General features: G+C 42.7%; 1 long non-coding RNA gene across 7 annotated transcripts in view, besides 1 other annotated feature; it reads right to left on the bottom strand.

The window, feature by feature from the left end:
- The window catches only part of SLC44A3-AS1 (SLC44A3 antisense RNA 1), a 203881-nt gene that overhangs the window by 152971 nt on the left and 33406 nt on the right, over positions 1–17504 (bottom strand). For 2 of the 7 annotated variants that reach the window (NR_160783.1, NR_160782.1), the window contains exon 2: positions 903–991. The exons of 4 other annotated variants lie outside the window; for them this stretch is intronic. This is a non-coding gene — a long non-coding RNA (SLC44A3 antisense RNA 1). The remainder of the gene's footprint in view (positions 1–902; positions 992–17504) is intronic. One more of the 7 variants, NR_160779.1, reaches the window with a different exon arrangement.
- Positions 13840–14602: an enhancer, noted in NCBI's record as "H3K4me1 hESC enhancer chr1:95248718-95249480 (GRCh37/hg19 assembly coordinates)". NCBI's record gives its function as "activates a minimal SCP1, AML or CMV promoter by ChIP-STARR-seq in naive H9 embryonic stem cells {active_cell/tissue: H9 hESC(naive)}" and the evidence as "EXISTENCE:reporter gene assay evidence [ECO:0000049][PMID:30033119]".

A 17504-nucleotide genomic window follows, 5' to 3' on the forward strand; every position in this document is an offset into this window, starting at 1 on the left:
TCAAATGTGCATCAGCGTGCATGAGGCTGTTTGTTCTGTAAGATAGCCCAGCCATATCCCAGAGCTGATTAAACAACAATTATGCCACAAATATTATACCCAACATTATGATCTTCTAGGATAATACCCTGATTGTCTCTGAACCTCACTGAATGTCATGGTTGCTGGTGACCCACTGTGATGTTTCTGGGCCACATTCTATGTAGCTAAATTGTTTGGGATATTAACATACCTGGAAGGACCTTTCCCCAGTCCATTAAAAATCCTCTAGTCTTTTTAGGCCACTTAAGGAAGGGTCATAGCTAGCATGGTATGGTCTACAAACTTCAAGTCTACATTCCTGACATGACACCACCCTTCCTGGTAGGAACCAGCCACAAGAAGAAAGGCCACTCAGGTTTCCTAGCAATGCCTTATTTTGGACACATTCCAAGACAGCCACAGTCAAACCAAAGTTTCGGGCAGGTCTCAACTAAGACTGGTTTGTATTTCCAAAGTCACTTATAAGCCAAGTCCTGGGACCCAGAATGTATTTTCCCATGGAAACAGTGACATAGACTATAACAAAGTCATCATGCCAAGCCACAAGTGCCTACAGCTATCATGGTGCCAAGAGCACTATTTCAATAACTCCCAATCACTTTATGTAACATTGCTTCCATAGGAAAGCTCCAATTGAGTTTCAATCTCCAATGCAGGATTCTAGGAACACATTTCCAAGCCCCCACATTCATCTTGGCAGCATGAGAGAATTACCTCTTTTGATCAAACGTTCATTCATTCCCACAAATACTTATTGAAACTCTATTTTTCATGAGCCACTGCTCTAGGTGCTGGGGATACAACAGTGAACAAAAGTCACCCACAAAGTTCTGAAGTGGAAACACAAAGTGATCTGATACCATATTGGCCAGCATAATGAAGGGAGGGTCATCTTACTGTTTCTTCCACAATGGCCAGTGAGTTCCACAGGTGAATTTCCATTTTCACCCTAGAATACAGAAATGCAGACTCTTGGTTTCCTAGCTTAACAATGATAAATCTAGTCTTCACTTTGCATTCTATTTTTCAAATTTAGCTGTTGACACTCAAATTGATTAGAAGAAAATCATCAAGATAAGACACATTCTCTCTTCTTCCATGTGGCAAAAAAGGACCCTGGGGACACATTGAGTCTTAACTGAGCTTGACAGGCTTCCTTGGAAATTTTGAAGGGTTTGGGGAGAAGGGGAGGAGGGTAATGCCCCCATGCCAATGGAACCACCAGACCAGTGGATTTCCAGTCAAACCAGATGGCAAGAAAGGAGCTGCATTCTTCTGCTTCCCAGCTGCTCTTGGAGACTCTTCCAGGTAAGTTAATCTGGAATCTGTTTACCTCTCTAACATTTGCTTACTTCCGTAGCACACTGAGAATTCTGCTGCCAAATTGACTGTAGATTGGAGTTTGCACACTTCACTCTTTACTACCACTCATGTATTCACCCAGAGCACTTAAAGACTTCCCAAATTTAAAGGGATGTTTTCTAATTTTCAAGTACTTATTGTCCCTTATAAAGTGATCTTGTAAGGTTTTTTTCCCCCTTCTTGGTCTATGTTTAATGGTTTTTTGTGATTGAAGCAATGGGGAACAACTCTTCCTTACAGCGAAGAAAACAAACTCCAAGAGTAGTAAATCTTCATGAGACTTATTCCTTCTCCTTTTCCTTCTTAATAGGTTTATTTATCTGGATTAAAACTCACATTAAGCTTTTTTTGGAGGGTATTTGCAAAAGGCCTACACTAATAACAAGTGACTTTCCAATGGCATTATTAGATTATGAGCTTCCTTGGAACAGGGAGTATCTTTAGTTCTGCTGAAGAGTGCAGGATGAAAGTTAGACAAAAAATAATAATAATAATAACACATTTAACAGTTATGCAGATATTGCTCAAAAACTGGCTTTTACTAGCAGGGTGGCACATTTCTCTATTGACCTGATATCAGAAAAAGCAAAGCAGTCTTTTAAAGATTCAGACAAAATGTTTCTGGAATACATCTGTTGAAGAACATGGGAGAGGATAATTATATTAGTTGTATTAGGAAATAATAAATTCGACCTGCAAATATATAGAGTATTTAAAAATTCTTTCTTGATAACTTTTATTCCCATGGAGAGTAATTTTCCCAAATCCACTGAAATGAGTTCACATAACTCAATGTTTGTAAATAGCATCCCTCTGATCTCCTACAGAGCAAGTGGAACTGTATTCCAACCCCAGGGCCAGAAACTTGAGACCATGTGCCAGTCCATGGCACCAGAGTCCGGTCTGTCCCCATCTCTATGGCCACTGGTGCAAACATCAAGAGGAGAAGTGGAGGTGGATGGGCCTCCTCTTCTTTTTTTACCCTCCCATGGGGATGGGATGTAAAAGTGGGACCAGAAGAAGACAGAAATAAACAAGTGTTCTCCTGTTCCCTTTAGGAGTCTGAACATGGAAAATAGAGGCCCAGAACCTGCCAGAAGACAGCAGTTTCTGGCAGACATCCAGGAAAGCCCTCTTGTTGTGTCTTCAAAGGCAAAGTGTCACCTTTTCTGGTCTGCAGGGCTTATAGTCAATTTGACTCCATGCTTTGCCACTTTCTAGCTGTGCGACTTTGGAAAAGCAACTGAGCCTCACTCTTTTCCTTTATAAAATTCAGAATAATATAAATTTTACCACTTAAGGCCAAGGATTGAATGAATTAACATTTGTACAGCATAATAGAGGCACCATATATGTGGCACATAGTAAGCATGCCAGAAAGAGTAACTAGTATTGGGTTTTCCTTACATAAAATTACAAAGCCTATACTTTATTCCCCAGGTTGGAGAAGACGCTTTTCCATTTAAGCCCAAGAGATGCAGAGATTCAGCAGTTTATTGGCAATGTTTTGTACATGGCGTGATGGTCAGTAAGAGAATTCTAGCCTCTATTCAAAGTGTTAGACTCTGAAAACAAGTTTGGCTAGTTCTTTCTGTTCAAGAATGAATGACATCACTACCTCAGTCCTTGAAAACCAAATGAGAGAGTCATGGAGGGTGCTTAGCAGAGTTTCCCCACACATTTCTAGAGCATTTCCCGCAAGCTGACATTTCAACCCCAAGCAAATAAAAAGTTAGGCAACACTTTCCTTAAGTACCTTCTACAGAAAGAACACTGTGCTCTAGTTACAAAGCCATGAATGGTTGGGGAAACGGATGCAGTAAAGCATCCAAGGCTAGGCCGGGCACAGTGGCTCACGCCTGTAATTGCAGCACTTTGGGAGGCCAAGGTGGGTTAATCACCTGAGGTCAGGAGTATGAGAGCAGGCTGGCCAACAGGGCAAAACCCTGTCTCTACTAAAAATACAAAAGTTAGCCAGGCATGGTGGTGCACACCTGTAGGCCCAGCTATTTGGGAGGCTGAGGCAGGAGAATCACCTGAACCCTGGAGGCAGAGGTTGCAGTGAGCTGAGATCGCACCATTGCACTCCAGCCTGGGAGACAGAGCGAGACTCAAAAAAATAAAAAATAAATAATAAAAAAAGAACACCCAGGGCTAGATGTAAAGATGGAGCCAGTGTGGATTGAGCCCTGAGCTGGGCATCAGAAGAGCCTGGATCCTTGGCTCATCCCCTCCCCTTAATAGCTGCATGATCTCAAGTATGGCAATCGATGTCCCTAGGCCTGTGTGCTCAAGTGTACAACGCAGGAAGTGAATCTGAAGGTTTTTTCTAATTTGTGGTCTCAGTTAAGAAGAAAAAAAGGAAACATGAAAATATGTGAGATAAAATAACAGAGCAATACTCACTGCATCATAAATCCGGAGGTGGCTAGGCTGGACCAAAGGGGACATCAGGTAGAAAGTTAAAGTGTCTGTTTTTCCCAATTAAGTTTGTTTAAATGATTTAAATCCTTGAACTACACACTTTCCTAAGCTGATAGGAAGGAACTAGTACTGAGTACATTCGCTCACTGGGGCATAAATCTGAGCTGCTGGTGAAGGTTGGAAACTCTGGCATGTGAACCTATCAGAAGCCTTCGTAAGGAAATAGCCACTGATGAGTTCGTTGTGACAGAGGGCTGCAAAACCCTGAGACAGCCTGAGTTAGGAAAGAGGCTTCACCTCCCAGGAGAAAGCAAAATGATCTCATGGAAACCCAGGACTTACTGATAATCACCTGTAAATGAAGCTCTGCCTACGCGTCACTTTGCAAGGAGAATCAATGTCAACATAAGCAGACCCGCCTTGAGGGAAAACAAGGCAGGCTGCTGTACTGAGGAACAGGCTGAACTGGGGTGTGCCTCTCCCATGCCTGCTGCCCAGCAGTCCACCCTAAAGATAAACCAGCCCCAACTGGCTAAGACCTTATTCCTCCACAGCAAATGTGCACCCAACTAAACCTCTATGGTGGTTTCAGACACCAGTATCTGTAGGAGGCCGGCAAGCTGCTCATTTCAGCCCCTTTCAATTCAAGATTCTGGGTGCCCCCAAAGTTCAGCCTATTTACCTCTCCCAGATCATGGGTACCCACCCCTGTTCCCACCTCTGTTGGCAGGGCCTCAGCAGGAGGTCTTTCCATTTCCAAAAAATGGAAAGACCCTGAAGTGAATCATAAGTCACAGTGCTCTCTTGGGATCCCTGTTACAGGAAGTAGCGGGAAACAAGATGCCTTCTCATCCCCATACTGGTGTCAGCTGTCAGGAATGTGGTTTCTCAGAAACATACTGGGTGACAGCCTTTGCAGATACTTTAAGGTGAGAAAGCTCCCAAAAGGGCAGAGAAAGCCCATTCCCACCTGGAACAGAAGTCACCTAACACTGCTCTGATTAGGAAGAAATAGTAATCATTAAACCATATGCACCGCGAGAAAACATGCAAAGATGGATTCTACACAGGCTGGGAGTTCTCACGCCCTGCAGGCTTTCATCATCCTGACCTTTCCAACTAGAACGTCGTCTTTTGCTGGCTAATTTGTAACTGCCCTTCAAGATTCACTGGGGATCAGAAGGCTTCTCCCTGAGCACCTGGCCTGCCTCCCATGGCCCATGCACCCCCTGCCCTTGTTACCGTCATCGGCCAGGGCTTTCCCTCAGAGCAGTGTCTGAGTGGGCCCCAAGTGCCTGATTCAGTGTGTGGCAACAAAAGAGCTCAACAAAATATTTCAGACAAATCATCAATAATCAAATGAACAATTTTATTGGGTATTGTCCAAAGTAACATCCTGCTTCTAATTCATGGAAAAGAGCACAAATTGGCCATGGCATGAGAGAGCACCTTGAAGAGTGCTCCCAGTCCACAGCAGTTTGAAGCCTCTACGGGAAGAACAGTATTTTCTGAGCAATGGTGTTTCCCAACTTAGAGAGAGAGAACTGGTCCTTGAGAGAGGATAGATTTTTATTCCCATTAGATTCATTAGGCAACTGAGGCAGCAAAGTTTCATGGCCAAGTGTCATGATGGTGCAGAATTGCTACGATAGGGCCAGCTTTTCATTCTCCAACCTTGCACTTGTTTGGCAGGTGTCTCCAGTCTGCCAGGCACTTTGCTAGGCACACAGGTGGTGAACAAGACCGACTCAATCCCTGCTGTCATATAGTGGGTGTGCCAGGGACTGACATTAGATGATTAATAAATATATCATTAGATGTTGTCATTAATATTATAAAGTAAAAGTACAGGACACCTATACATGGTTACATGAATGGGAAGGGCCTGGTTGGCTGGCATTTATGAAGAACACACCGTATATCAGGGACTGTGCTGTGCTCAGACCTGAGGCAGTTTACCACGGCCCTCACACTGAGCTGGAAGCAGAGGATTGAGATGCTCCCATGGGGAGGTCCTATGGCTTTCATGCAGCCCCTGTCTCCTCCTTGTCAAAAGTGGAGATAACACTTTGCCTACTTGCTGCTAATCTTAATGTGAAGATCAATGATCAAGCATTTTCTCTTTTCAAAATACTGGGTAAAATTAACATTGAAAGCTTTTCTTTTCTGTAAAAAGCTTTTACAGAAATGAGCAGTGTTAAATTGAATTAAGCTTGGCCTAATGCTGCCTCCATACATATCTTAAGTTTGGCCTAAAGGTTTCTCTGTACATAGTGAGCTGTAACCTAACTTGATGTGTAATCAGACTGTAACTTACTCTTGTAACAAGCGGCCCGATGTCAGCCAATCACAGCAGCTGAACCCAGGTCAACCACAGACAACCCACGTTCAAACCAGGTTCAAATAAGCCAAACTCCAGCTTTAACCATAGGGCTAGTGCTGTACCTCACTTTCCCCTTCTTCCACTTTCTGTATTTGACTTCCCTTTTTCTGTCTGTAAATGTCCAGCTGTGTGGCAGCCCCTGGAGTCTCACTATATCTGTCCTGATTCTAGGGATGCCCAATTCATGAATTGTTCTTTGCTCAATTAAACCCTACTAAATTTTATTTGTTTAAAGTTCTTTTAATAGTGGTTATTTCCTTGAGTTCAGATTTATATTCAACAATCAGAACTCATTTCTCAACAATCCCAACTCTCATTTGTCATTATATATATATATACACACACACGCACATATATATACACACACATACATATATACATATATATGACTATATATATACACACACGCACATATATATACACACACATACATATGCACACACACACACACATATGCACACACACACACACACACATATATATATATATATGTACATGCCATTTTTTCAAAGACAGTAGCGCTGCTAAAGGGTAAAACTAATGGACTGAGATGCATGCTTTCCTTGGGAACACAGCATAGGAAGGTCACCGCTCCTTTCTCCCTCCCGCTTCCCTGAGGTAAGAGAGTTTCCTTCTCAGAGACCCGAGAGGAGATAGACATTTTGCTTTATGTTTCTCTTTCACACCAGTCTACCTCACCATGAGGTGCTGTGAGAATTACAAAGAGAATGTGATTGACATTGGGGATGCCCCAAATGTAGCCCTGGTTTTGATGCACTCACCTCCAGGTCAGGGAAAGAGTTTCCTTGTCCTCAAGCTCACGTGACAAAGATGTGCCTGGAAGAAGGCCCTGCTGGATAGGACAGAACCTGGCAGTCCTCTGAGGGCCCTTCCCAGGAGGTTTGTGCTCCCGAGGGCCAGGACAAGCTGGCATTGGGGTGCAGCTCCGTGATGCACCCTGGAGCTGTGGAGCCCCAGGAAGGCTGGCCTAGGGGAGCTTGTGCCAATAAAGGAGAGTTTGGTTCATGCCCTGACTCTTTCCCCAGGTCTGGCTTCTCTCCTGCACAGCCTCCCTCCTACCTGGAAATGCTGGGGACTCAGCACCAGGTTCTGCCTTCACAGGAGAGGACAATGAAGATGCAACTAATGTCTGTGTGGCACCTGATACAAGAAGCTTGAAGGGCTTCCTCTAAAAAGAAAGCAGCACAGAAGAGGCCATCTGCAGAGCAGCAGGTGTGTGCATGGCTGTCAGGTCTGAAAAACTCACCCCTTCCTTGGCAAGGGGAAGAGCATGTAGTCATGTGATTCACAGGACCCTTTCATGACTACAGCAGCATTTGTTCTGCATCACCTTCCAGGCAGGTAAGGAGCCTGAGGCTCAGAGTTGGCCAAGCTGCCTGTCATGGCACAGCTAGGTGGTGACAGACTCAAGCCAATTGGGCATGTTTCTGCTACATTGCTGCCTTCCCATGACCCAGGGCCTCCTACTATAGAGAAGGGAGAAACCAATTACTTGAGAGTGTCCTTTCCATAACCATATGGCCTGCTTTCTCTCCCTCCCCTCCTAAACCTGAGAAACTAGCTCACTCTAAGTTGTTAATGACTGAAAAGCACACCCTGCAGCATATTTGTGATTTACAAAAACAATGCCCTAATAAAAGGACCAGTTTTTACAGTTCTAGGACTGTAAATGCCAGGCAAGAGATCTGCAGAAGAGGTATTTGAAGACCTCAATGGAGGGTCTGACTCTTTCCCCACCCAGAGAGTGAGCTTTTCCATCCAGAGCAGTGCCATCACTGCTTTACTCTGTGCCTTTGGTGCAAGGCACAGTGCTTACCACATGGCAAATATTCCCTAAGATATCTGGTGATAGATGAATGAAGAAGTGGATGGATGGATGGATAGATGGATGGATGGATGGATGGATGGATGGATGGATGGATGGATGGTTGGGTAGGTGGGTAAGTGGGTGGGTGTGTGGATGGATGGGTGGATGGATGGATGGATGGATGGATGGATGGATGGATGGATAGATGGATTGATTGATGAACTACCCCCAAACTACCCTTCCCAGTAAATGAGTCATTCATTCACTTACTCCAGTTATGTCTACTAAGAACCAAGCCTGCAGCAGGCAATAAACCATGCACTAGAGATATTGCTGTGAACTAGACAGTGTTTAGAGTCTAACAGGGGAGTTGGTCATTAAACAAACAGGGGCCAAATAGTTATTTAGTGATAGTATGGACTAGGTGTGCTAGTAAGGCTAATGGCCACAACTGTATGTTCTGATCATTTAGGTATCCAGCTGCTAATCTGTAATCTAATTTTTAATCTGGCCATTATTCTTACCAAATTCTCATTTTTTAAATATGCTTGGTGTTGTTTAAACAAAACCTATATGATTTATTTTCAACCCAAAAGAGTAATGCTTAAGGTACATGAAGGAAAACCAAGGCACATATATCAAAGCTCTAGAGAATCAGGTTTCAGTTCCACTAAACTATTTCCACCAGCCTCTTCAATGATTAGGATTTTAAAGCTCAAAATAGTTTCCACAGCAGTATTACAATGATATAAAAATTACATGCATAGAAACCCTAAAAGGAAATCACAAAAACATAAATAGTAGATATTTATTAAATGGTATAATTATAGGTATTCTTTTTACTATTGCCATTTTTTAAGTTTTTTATTTAATGGATGATTATTACTTTGTAATAAAATGAATTTTTTAAAAGACTGTTTAAATGTATGATAGATGATCTCATTTTCCTTTTAGAATTATTCATATTGCAAAGTCTACAGTATATTACACTTAGTGGATTTTCACTATGTCTTTCTTTTATCTCCCCACTATGTATTTCTTGAATGAAGGAACAGATGAATGAGTTTTGAATTCTAATAAGACCAACATATGGAAATTTTTGTCTTAAAGTGTTGCGCTCATATTTTCCAAACAGCGATCAAACTTGAGACCTTTGGGCTTCCTCGAAAAAGACCTATCAAAAGCTTGTTTTAGTTGTCTTAATCAGTTCTTAGTTATTTTTGCTTGTGAATACGAGTTTTGAATATAATAAATGGATTGAATTAAAGAAAATATGTTTAAACACATTCTGAAATGTATTACTTCTCTAATTTCTACTATTTAAAAATTATGTCTCCTATTGAGAACAACATTCTGCAGGCTTCTCAAGAAATCTCACTTGTTATCAACAAATATTTGGATCCCATCAGAACATTTGTTTTTCATTTGTAATTGTATTTACTCTGGAGTCCTTCTGTGAACTGTTTGGTTATGACTAATAAGTTAGGAACAATTAGCTAAAATTCATTCAATCATAGGAATTTACATTTGGAGGGGTCATTAATGGTCATTTAAGTCCAGCATTTCTCCCAAGCAAGAATCCCTTCTACAGTCTTGGTCAGTAGTCTTTGGTGTCTGTTTGAATACCTCAGATGCTAAGAATCTCACTGACTCCCATGGAAGCTGAGTTTGTTTGTTTTTTTAAATGCTTATCTTCATGCCCATCAAAGATGAAAGTTTTATTTTGTTTGCATGTACACTTCTAATCCCCAGCACAGAACTCAGCACATCAAAAATCTTCAGTAAATGTTAATTGCCTGAATAAGTGGAGGTTTGAATCCATTCATTCATTTAGTGTATTATTGAATGTCTACTATGTGGTGGGTATTTATCTGAAGCACTGGGGGTACAGCAGTGGACAAGAAAGACATGGTTCCTGGCCCATGAGGTGTTTTCACTCTAGCTGGAAAGACTAATCTACCCATATTTCCCTTTCCTACTTAAATCTTAGACATATCATCAGTAGGCAGATGGAAGCAGCCACTATTAGGACAGGTTGAGGAATAAGTAGCAATTTCTTACACATTCTTAGAGATTACTTGAGAACCTCCAGGGAAGACTACACTTCCTGTCAGGCTGGGCTGGTGGATGTTCAAGTCAGTATTGTTTGAATATTAAAGAAATGTAACCTTATTTTATCCCTATAGCTGATGCAGCAGGACATTCAATACAAAGAGAGAGAAGATGAAGCTGTATTAACACATACATATATGTTCTACTTATTGATACATTTATATATATGTATACACACACACATTTATTCTTATTCAAACACATACACACTCACATAAAAATGGAAAGATATTCACCTAATTTTTTAAATGATTATCTCCAAGTAGTGGGATTATAGATTTATTCTTTTAGTTTTTCTATATTTGACACATTTTCTTCAGCAAACAAATATTACTTAAATAAGCAAAACAATTGTATTAAACACACACACACACACACACACACACACCCACACACAGCAAGTCCGGCTAACTGGTCACGCTGCTGATGCCTCCATGCTTTGTTCCTGCAAATGCCTTCTCCCTCCTCTCTCCCTTTCAACATCTTCCTCGCCCTGTAAATAATCTCAGCTCAAGCATCATCTCCACTAGAAAGCTCTCCTGATGCCCACCTTCCCCAGGGACCCTATACCCCACTTTCTTTGTGCACTTGCTGAACTAGGTAGAGACATTTATGATGGTGCCTTACAGCTATGCATGGCCTGCTCGCCTGATTGCCAGTGCCTGCAGGCCTGGCTCTGTGCCGCTCATCTGCACAGTGCCTCACCCTCAGTAGGGAATTGGGAGATAAGGGATGAATCCCTGAGCCTCTCCTAGGTCACTGATATGGCTGCTCATTGGTCATTCTCCTCTGTAGCTGAGATCACATTGCCCTCCTTACAAACTACTGATGGCTCCTTACTGCCTACTGAAAAAAATGCAACATCTTAGGGCATCCAAGAGCCTCCACAATATGATACCAGCTTGTACCCCATCCCAGGAGTACTCATCCAGCCCTAAACAGGTCATGCCTCCCCACCTTTGCCACTGCTATTCTTTTAAACTAAAATGATTTTCCCCATCTCTACCTAAGGAGTGTCTAAAAATAATTTCTACTCATCCTTACACTAGCTCGAAAGCCACTGATGCTCTGATGTGCTCATCAAAATCTCTGTTGGGAGTATCTGCAATCTCATATGCCCTGGGGTTCCTGTCTGTCCCTACAGCCACGTAAAGTAAGCACCATGAAGGCAGGGGTCATGCCTTAATCTTAATTTAGGAGGCACTCACTGAGGAGCTGTTGATTTAAAATGATTTGGAAAAGAAAAAGTCCACGTTCTCTTCCAAATGAAGGGCTATACAAGTTACTGTGAATGGTTTTAATACAGAAAATGAGAGAAAAGAGATCCAAAAAAATAAAGTGAAATGGGATAGGTTACCAAACAAAGAATGAAACCATATAAGTAGAATTTGCTTTAAGATAAACATTTAGGTATTGAATATCTGAGATTTCTGTTTCCTTGTTTTATGAGCACAGGATTGTAGGAGAGTCAGCGAGCAACCCCAACACCCTTAAGTTCTTAGGTGGTATTTTTGGCTAGAACTAGAAACCAAATGGACACCAGGCAGATTAACAAGATAAAAGCATACTAATTGTATTGGTTTTAAGGAACGTAGGTGTCATGCCAGATCCCTATTGACTCCAATAGGAATGGCACCATGTCTGAGAGGCCAAACAAGAGACCCAGAGCCAGCAAACGAGACACGGGGTTTTATTAGGGAGAAATTACATACAGGAATAGTCCAGTGGTGGAAGACTGAACAGGAAACTGTAACTGCTTGAAAAAAGCATGTAGTTTAGATAGCACCTTCACTTAGCACGCTCCCCCCGACAACCTCCATGTGGCAACCCTCATTTCTTAAGTCATTGCTGGCAGGTGCATCTGCCGTATAGGGTCATTCTCAGGGTGTGAATAAGTCAGTGCTGTCAGATGCAACTACTGTGCCCGTGGGATCTTCACAAGAGAGTGAAATCCAAAGAAATGCCCAAAGCAAGATGTCTTTATACTTTTTAGACAAAGAACAATGAATTTGAGAAGAAATGACAAGAAAAAGGGGATCTGGCTAGGGGTAGTAAATTTTAAGGGAGTCATAGGAGCTATATGAGGGGACATAAAACTAGTGGACGACAGGGGTTACTTCGGTAATATTTATTTAGGTCCACTGCAGCCTTAACTTCCCAGTCTCTGGTAATAAGGACGATTTTCTTGCCCTGGTACATGGAGGTCCCCCTCCAAGAGGAAGCTTTATGGCTTGCTGCATGCAGGGGGAGACAGGACAACTGGCCCTTTCTGAAACTACAATTTCTTCAATGTTTGTAACTCAAAATAATAAATATACCAATGTGGCATATTTTGAGATTGCACATTCTTCATTCCTTCAGAATTCAAAGTCACAGATGTTGGCTTTGTCCTTGACATTGCCTCTGATAAGTTTGGTGATCTTCACCAAGTCATCAAACCCTTCTGAGCTTTAATATCCTCCTCCTTAAAATGTATATAAGAATCAGTAGAAACAATAGCTACCACAGAGCTGTAAAGAGTTCATAAGGTGCTACAGAAATGTAAGGCATTTGTGAATGTGGTGTAATTTTTTTCAATAAATAAATATTAATTGAGCATCAATTATATGCCAGGTGCTAGGAAAAAACAGAAAAATAGCATTAGTGGCATCTACTTGCTTCCTTCCTTGCAGGCATATACTTTTGCAATTTGTTTCTGTCCTTCAGTGACATCAGTGCATAATGCCAGTTTCCCTCTCTTGTCTGTGATAGGGAAAGAGAGAAAGGAGCACACATAGCTCCCCACACATTCCCTGGCCCCAACCCTGCCAAGCCCTACACTGTAGAAACACAGAGGGAAGGCAGACAAAGGAGAGATTATGGGTATTAATGCTCTGGGGAAAATGCAAACCAGCCTGTTCATACCACCGGTCACAGAGTTTGATGATAGACCATGAGCTGTGACCATGAAAGGGATGCTGGCTTGACATTAGGATCAGTATATTTATAAGCAGATCAGGAGCTTATCCCATCATTAGAGCCTTTTGATCTTCCTTGCCCACCAAAAGGAAAAGCAAGACACCATCAAGTGAGGAGCCTGGGCCAAAGGTACCATGATACAGTCCAGTGCCTGAGGAATAAAACAGCCCCCGCCCTAGATGCTGCACTCAGATGGGAATGGAGGGAGTACTTGGGCACCTCTAGAATCATTCATTCAATCAAGCATTCAAAAAATACCTATCAAAACAGTGATAGGTATCAAAACCTATCAAAAAACCTGTCAAAACCTAACCAAAAAAGGTTAAAACACTGACTTTTTGCTGCACAAACCTGGGTTCAAAACTTAGCTCCACCCTTTAAAAGATATGGGACCCTAAGCAAGTTGCAGAACCTCCCTAAACCCACCACTTCATCCAGAAACTAGGATAACACTAATAGCTACCCTTAGAATTGTGGTGGAGATTAAATGTTACGGAGCTCTTAGCACTGTGCCTTGCAACTGCTAAGCATATAATGAATAATTGTTATTATAATCATCATTATCATTGATATGTGCCAGGCACCATCCTAGATCCTAGGGCCAAAGAGTTAGAGAAAAAAAAAAAAGTTATTGCACTCACTCAGGCAGACTACTCACTATAATACAATATGGTCAGTATTACAACAGGGCTAGGAACAAAAAGTTGTGGGAGAAAAGGGTTTGAGGGAGAGGGGTGGTGGCTTCCCAGAAGAGACAGTGTTTTCATTCAGCCTTAGAGGATAAGTAGGGATTTCACCAGGAGAAAGAGAGAGAATAAGGTAAGGCATTCCAGGCAGAGAAAATGTCCAAAGCAAAGTTATGGAGGAAGAAAGGAGCAAGGTGAGTTGAGACAGCTGCATGCAGTGCATCCTGGTCCTTCCTCTCCTCTAGTACATTGCAGAGAATCACCTTGTTCTGCTCAGAAAACACAACCTGGGGTGTGCTGGGCTGATAGAGAGATTCCAAAGAAGGAAGTGCCCAGGACTCTGGCACTCTTTCTGCTGCTTGGAATTCACCCTTCAGCCATTCCAGATGCCTGATTGCCAGGAGGAAGAGCAGAGTTGCCAAGGTCCTAGCTGAGGGAGAAAAGAGGGCAGAGCCTCCCCAGAGCTGGAAGGCCCTTTCAGCAGAGCCCTGGGGAAGCCACAGTCAGCTCCACGGCAGCAATCCCTGTAGGAGCAGCCAAGGAGCTGAAGCGCAGCCAGCCAGGCTGGCCAGCCAGCCTCCACCACAACAGTCGCTATTTACTTTGGATGCTGGCCGTCCCCACAATTCACACACAAGATTTATTACCAGAAAGTAAGTCATACAGGCTGCAGTAATAACATACTTCCTAAACGCAAGCCTTCACTCCTGTGGCTAGGGCAGGAGGATAGGACAGGAGGAATATCATCCAGTTATGGGGAACATCTATCATGCCTTATATGTTTAGAGAACATTTAAGTTCCCTAGGGAAGTCTTTCTCTGTGTCTTCAGCAACTTTGGTATCTGATCACTATAACAGGGTAATAGGCTGGAATTTTCTTTTTCTTTTTTTTTTTCTTGAGACAGAGTCTCGCTCAGTTACCCAGGCTGGAGTGCGGTGGTGTGATCTCAGCTCACTACAAGCTCCGCCTCCCGGGTTCATGCCATTGTCCTGCCTCAGCCTCTCGAGTAGCTGGGACTACAGGAGCCTGCCACCACGCCCGGCTAATTTTTTTGTACTTTTTAGTAGAGACGGGGTTTCACTGTGTTAGCCAGGATGGTCTCAATCTCCTGACCTCTTGATTCGCCCGCGTTGGCCTCCCAGAATGCTGGGATTACAGGCGTGAGCCACCGCGCCCAGCCTAGGCTGGAATTTCCAACTGTGTGTATACTCCCTGTCTTTTCCCTGACCTCTTATTTCAATCAGGAAACAAAGTTTTGTGATTTCTTGTAAGGGGATTCTGACAAAGTGGAAAGCAGACAGCAGACATCAATTCTAGAGCAACGGAAGTCAGAGGCCAAGGCAGGAAGAATGTCTTTAAGGAGCAGCAAGGTAGGAAATGGAGATTCCTAGAAACTGGAAAGAAGGTGGCAAGGTTTTAGAGAGGAGCCGCTAAGTGGTTATGGATTCCTGGAACTGAGCTTGGCCCTGAGGGGAAGAGAGAATTACCACCCAGCCACCTGTGCCAACAGATAGTTTCTGTCCATTGGAGACAGAAACAGGCCATTGGCTGGCCTGGTAATATGGTTTGGATGAACCCAAATCTCATGTCAAAATATAATCCCCAATGTTGGAGGTGGGGCATGGTAGGAGGTGACTGGATCATGGCGGGAGGATTTCTCATGAATGGTTTAGTGTCATCTCCATGGTATTGTCCTCACAATAGTAAGTTCTTGTGAGATCTGGTCATTTAAAACTGTGTGTCACCTCCTCATATCTCTTGCTCCTGCCTTTGCCATGTTAAGTGCCTGCTCCCGCTTTGCCTTCTGCCATATGAGTAAAAGCTCCCTGAGGCCTCCCCAGTAGCAGATGCTGCCATGCTTCCTGTACAACCTGCAGAACTGTGAGTCAATTAAACCTCTTTTCTTATAAATTACCCAGTCTCAGGTATTCCTTTATAGCAATGCAAGAACAGGCTAAAACACCTGGTCTACTACATTCTTATTTGCACTGTTTAAGCAGAAGAGTTCCAGGCAATACGAACTTAGTCTAATTTAAATCATAAAAACAGAGTCGCAGTTTCTGCAATCAATTCCTAGACTTGAGCCAGTTTACAGATCCCAAATGCCTTGAAAGAAGGGGAGGTTTGAGCTCCTTGAAGAAGTACCCATTACACTGCCAAAAGTTTATGCCATTAATCTTTTTCTCAGCCCTCCCCAAAGGACCTATGGCCTTCTGCCAGGGTGACTGTGCATTAGGGAAAACAAAATAATCAGACTTTTAGGTGATTATTGGACACTGACTTACTGGATTAGTGACACTAATCTTAGGAGACCCAAACCATCACTGTGGTCTATCAGTCAGAATATAAATTTTATTTATTTATTTATTTAGACATATGGTCTCACTCTGGTTGCCAAGGCTGGAGTGCAGTGGCATGATTTTGGCTCACTGCAGCCTCGACGTCCCCTGGCTGAGGTAATTTTCCCACCTCAGCCTCCAGAGTAGTTGGGACTACAGGCTCATGCCACTACATCCGGCTAATTTTTTTGTATTTTTAGTAGAGACCCGGTTTCACCATGTTGCCCAGGCTGGTCTTGAACTCCTGGGCTCGAGAAATTCACTCCCTTCACCCTCCCAAAGTGCTGGGATTACAGGCATGAGCTACCATGCCGTCCTAGAGTGGGAACTTCTGAAACTCAGGTAATTAGTGTAGTTTTAGCTCAAGTCACAGTGAGTCCAGTGGGTCTCCAAACGCATTCAGTGGTCATTTCTCCAGTTCCAGAGTAAATAATTGGAATAGACATATTCAGCAACTGGCAGGATCCCCATGCTTGTTCTCCGACTTGTGGAGTGAGGGCCATTACAATAAGAAAGACCAAGTGTAAGCCACTAGAATAGTCTTTACCTAGGAAAACAGTAAACCGAAAGCAATACTGCATTCATGGGAGGGATTCTAGAGAATGGTGCCACTATCAAAGGTTGGAAGGATGCACACGTGGTGATTCCCACCACATCCTCATTCAACTTGCCTATTTGGCCTGTACAGAAGACAGATAGATACTGGAGAATGGCAGTGGATTATAGTAAGCTTAATCAGGTGGTGACTTGAATTTCAGCTGGTCTTTCAGAAAAGGCTTCATTGCTTGAGCAAATTAACACATGCCCTATTACTGGTATGCAGCGACTGGTCTGACAAATGCCTTTTTCTCAATACCTATTAATAAAGACTACCAGAATTGATTTGCCTTCTGTTGGCAAAGCCAGCAATACACCTTAACTGCCTTACCTTGGGGTATATCAACCCTTCAAACCTAAATGTTATATTATAGTCTGCAGGGACTTGATCATCTTTCCATAAGACCACTGGTTTATTACATTGATGAATGCTGATTCCACCTAGTGAGCAAAAAGTAGCAATTATACTAATTAGTAAGACATTCGTGTGTCATATGGTAGGAAATAAATCTAACAAAAAGGGCCTTCCAACACTCCTTTATGATTAAGAAAACACTCAGCAAACTAGAAATAGAGGAAAACTTCCTCAAGTTGATAAAGCATATCTACAAAAAAATCTACAATATAATACCCAATGGTGAGAAACTACAAGCTTTCCCACTAAGTTCAGGTAAAAGGCAAGAATGTCTCTTCTCACCACTCCTTTTCAACATTGCACTGGAAGTCCTAACATAATGTGATTTTTTAAGGAAATAAAATGCATAAAGACTAA

This window comes from Homo sapiens, chromosome 1, assembly GCF_000001405.40.
Source record: "Homo sapiens chromosome 1, GRCh38.p14 Primary Assembly".
Lineage (NCBI taxonomy): Eukaryota > Metazoa > Chordata > Mammalia > Primates > Hominidae > Homo > Homo sapiens.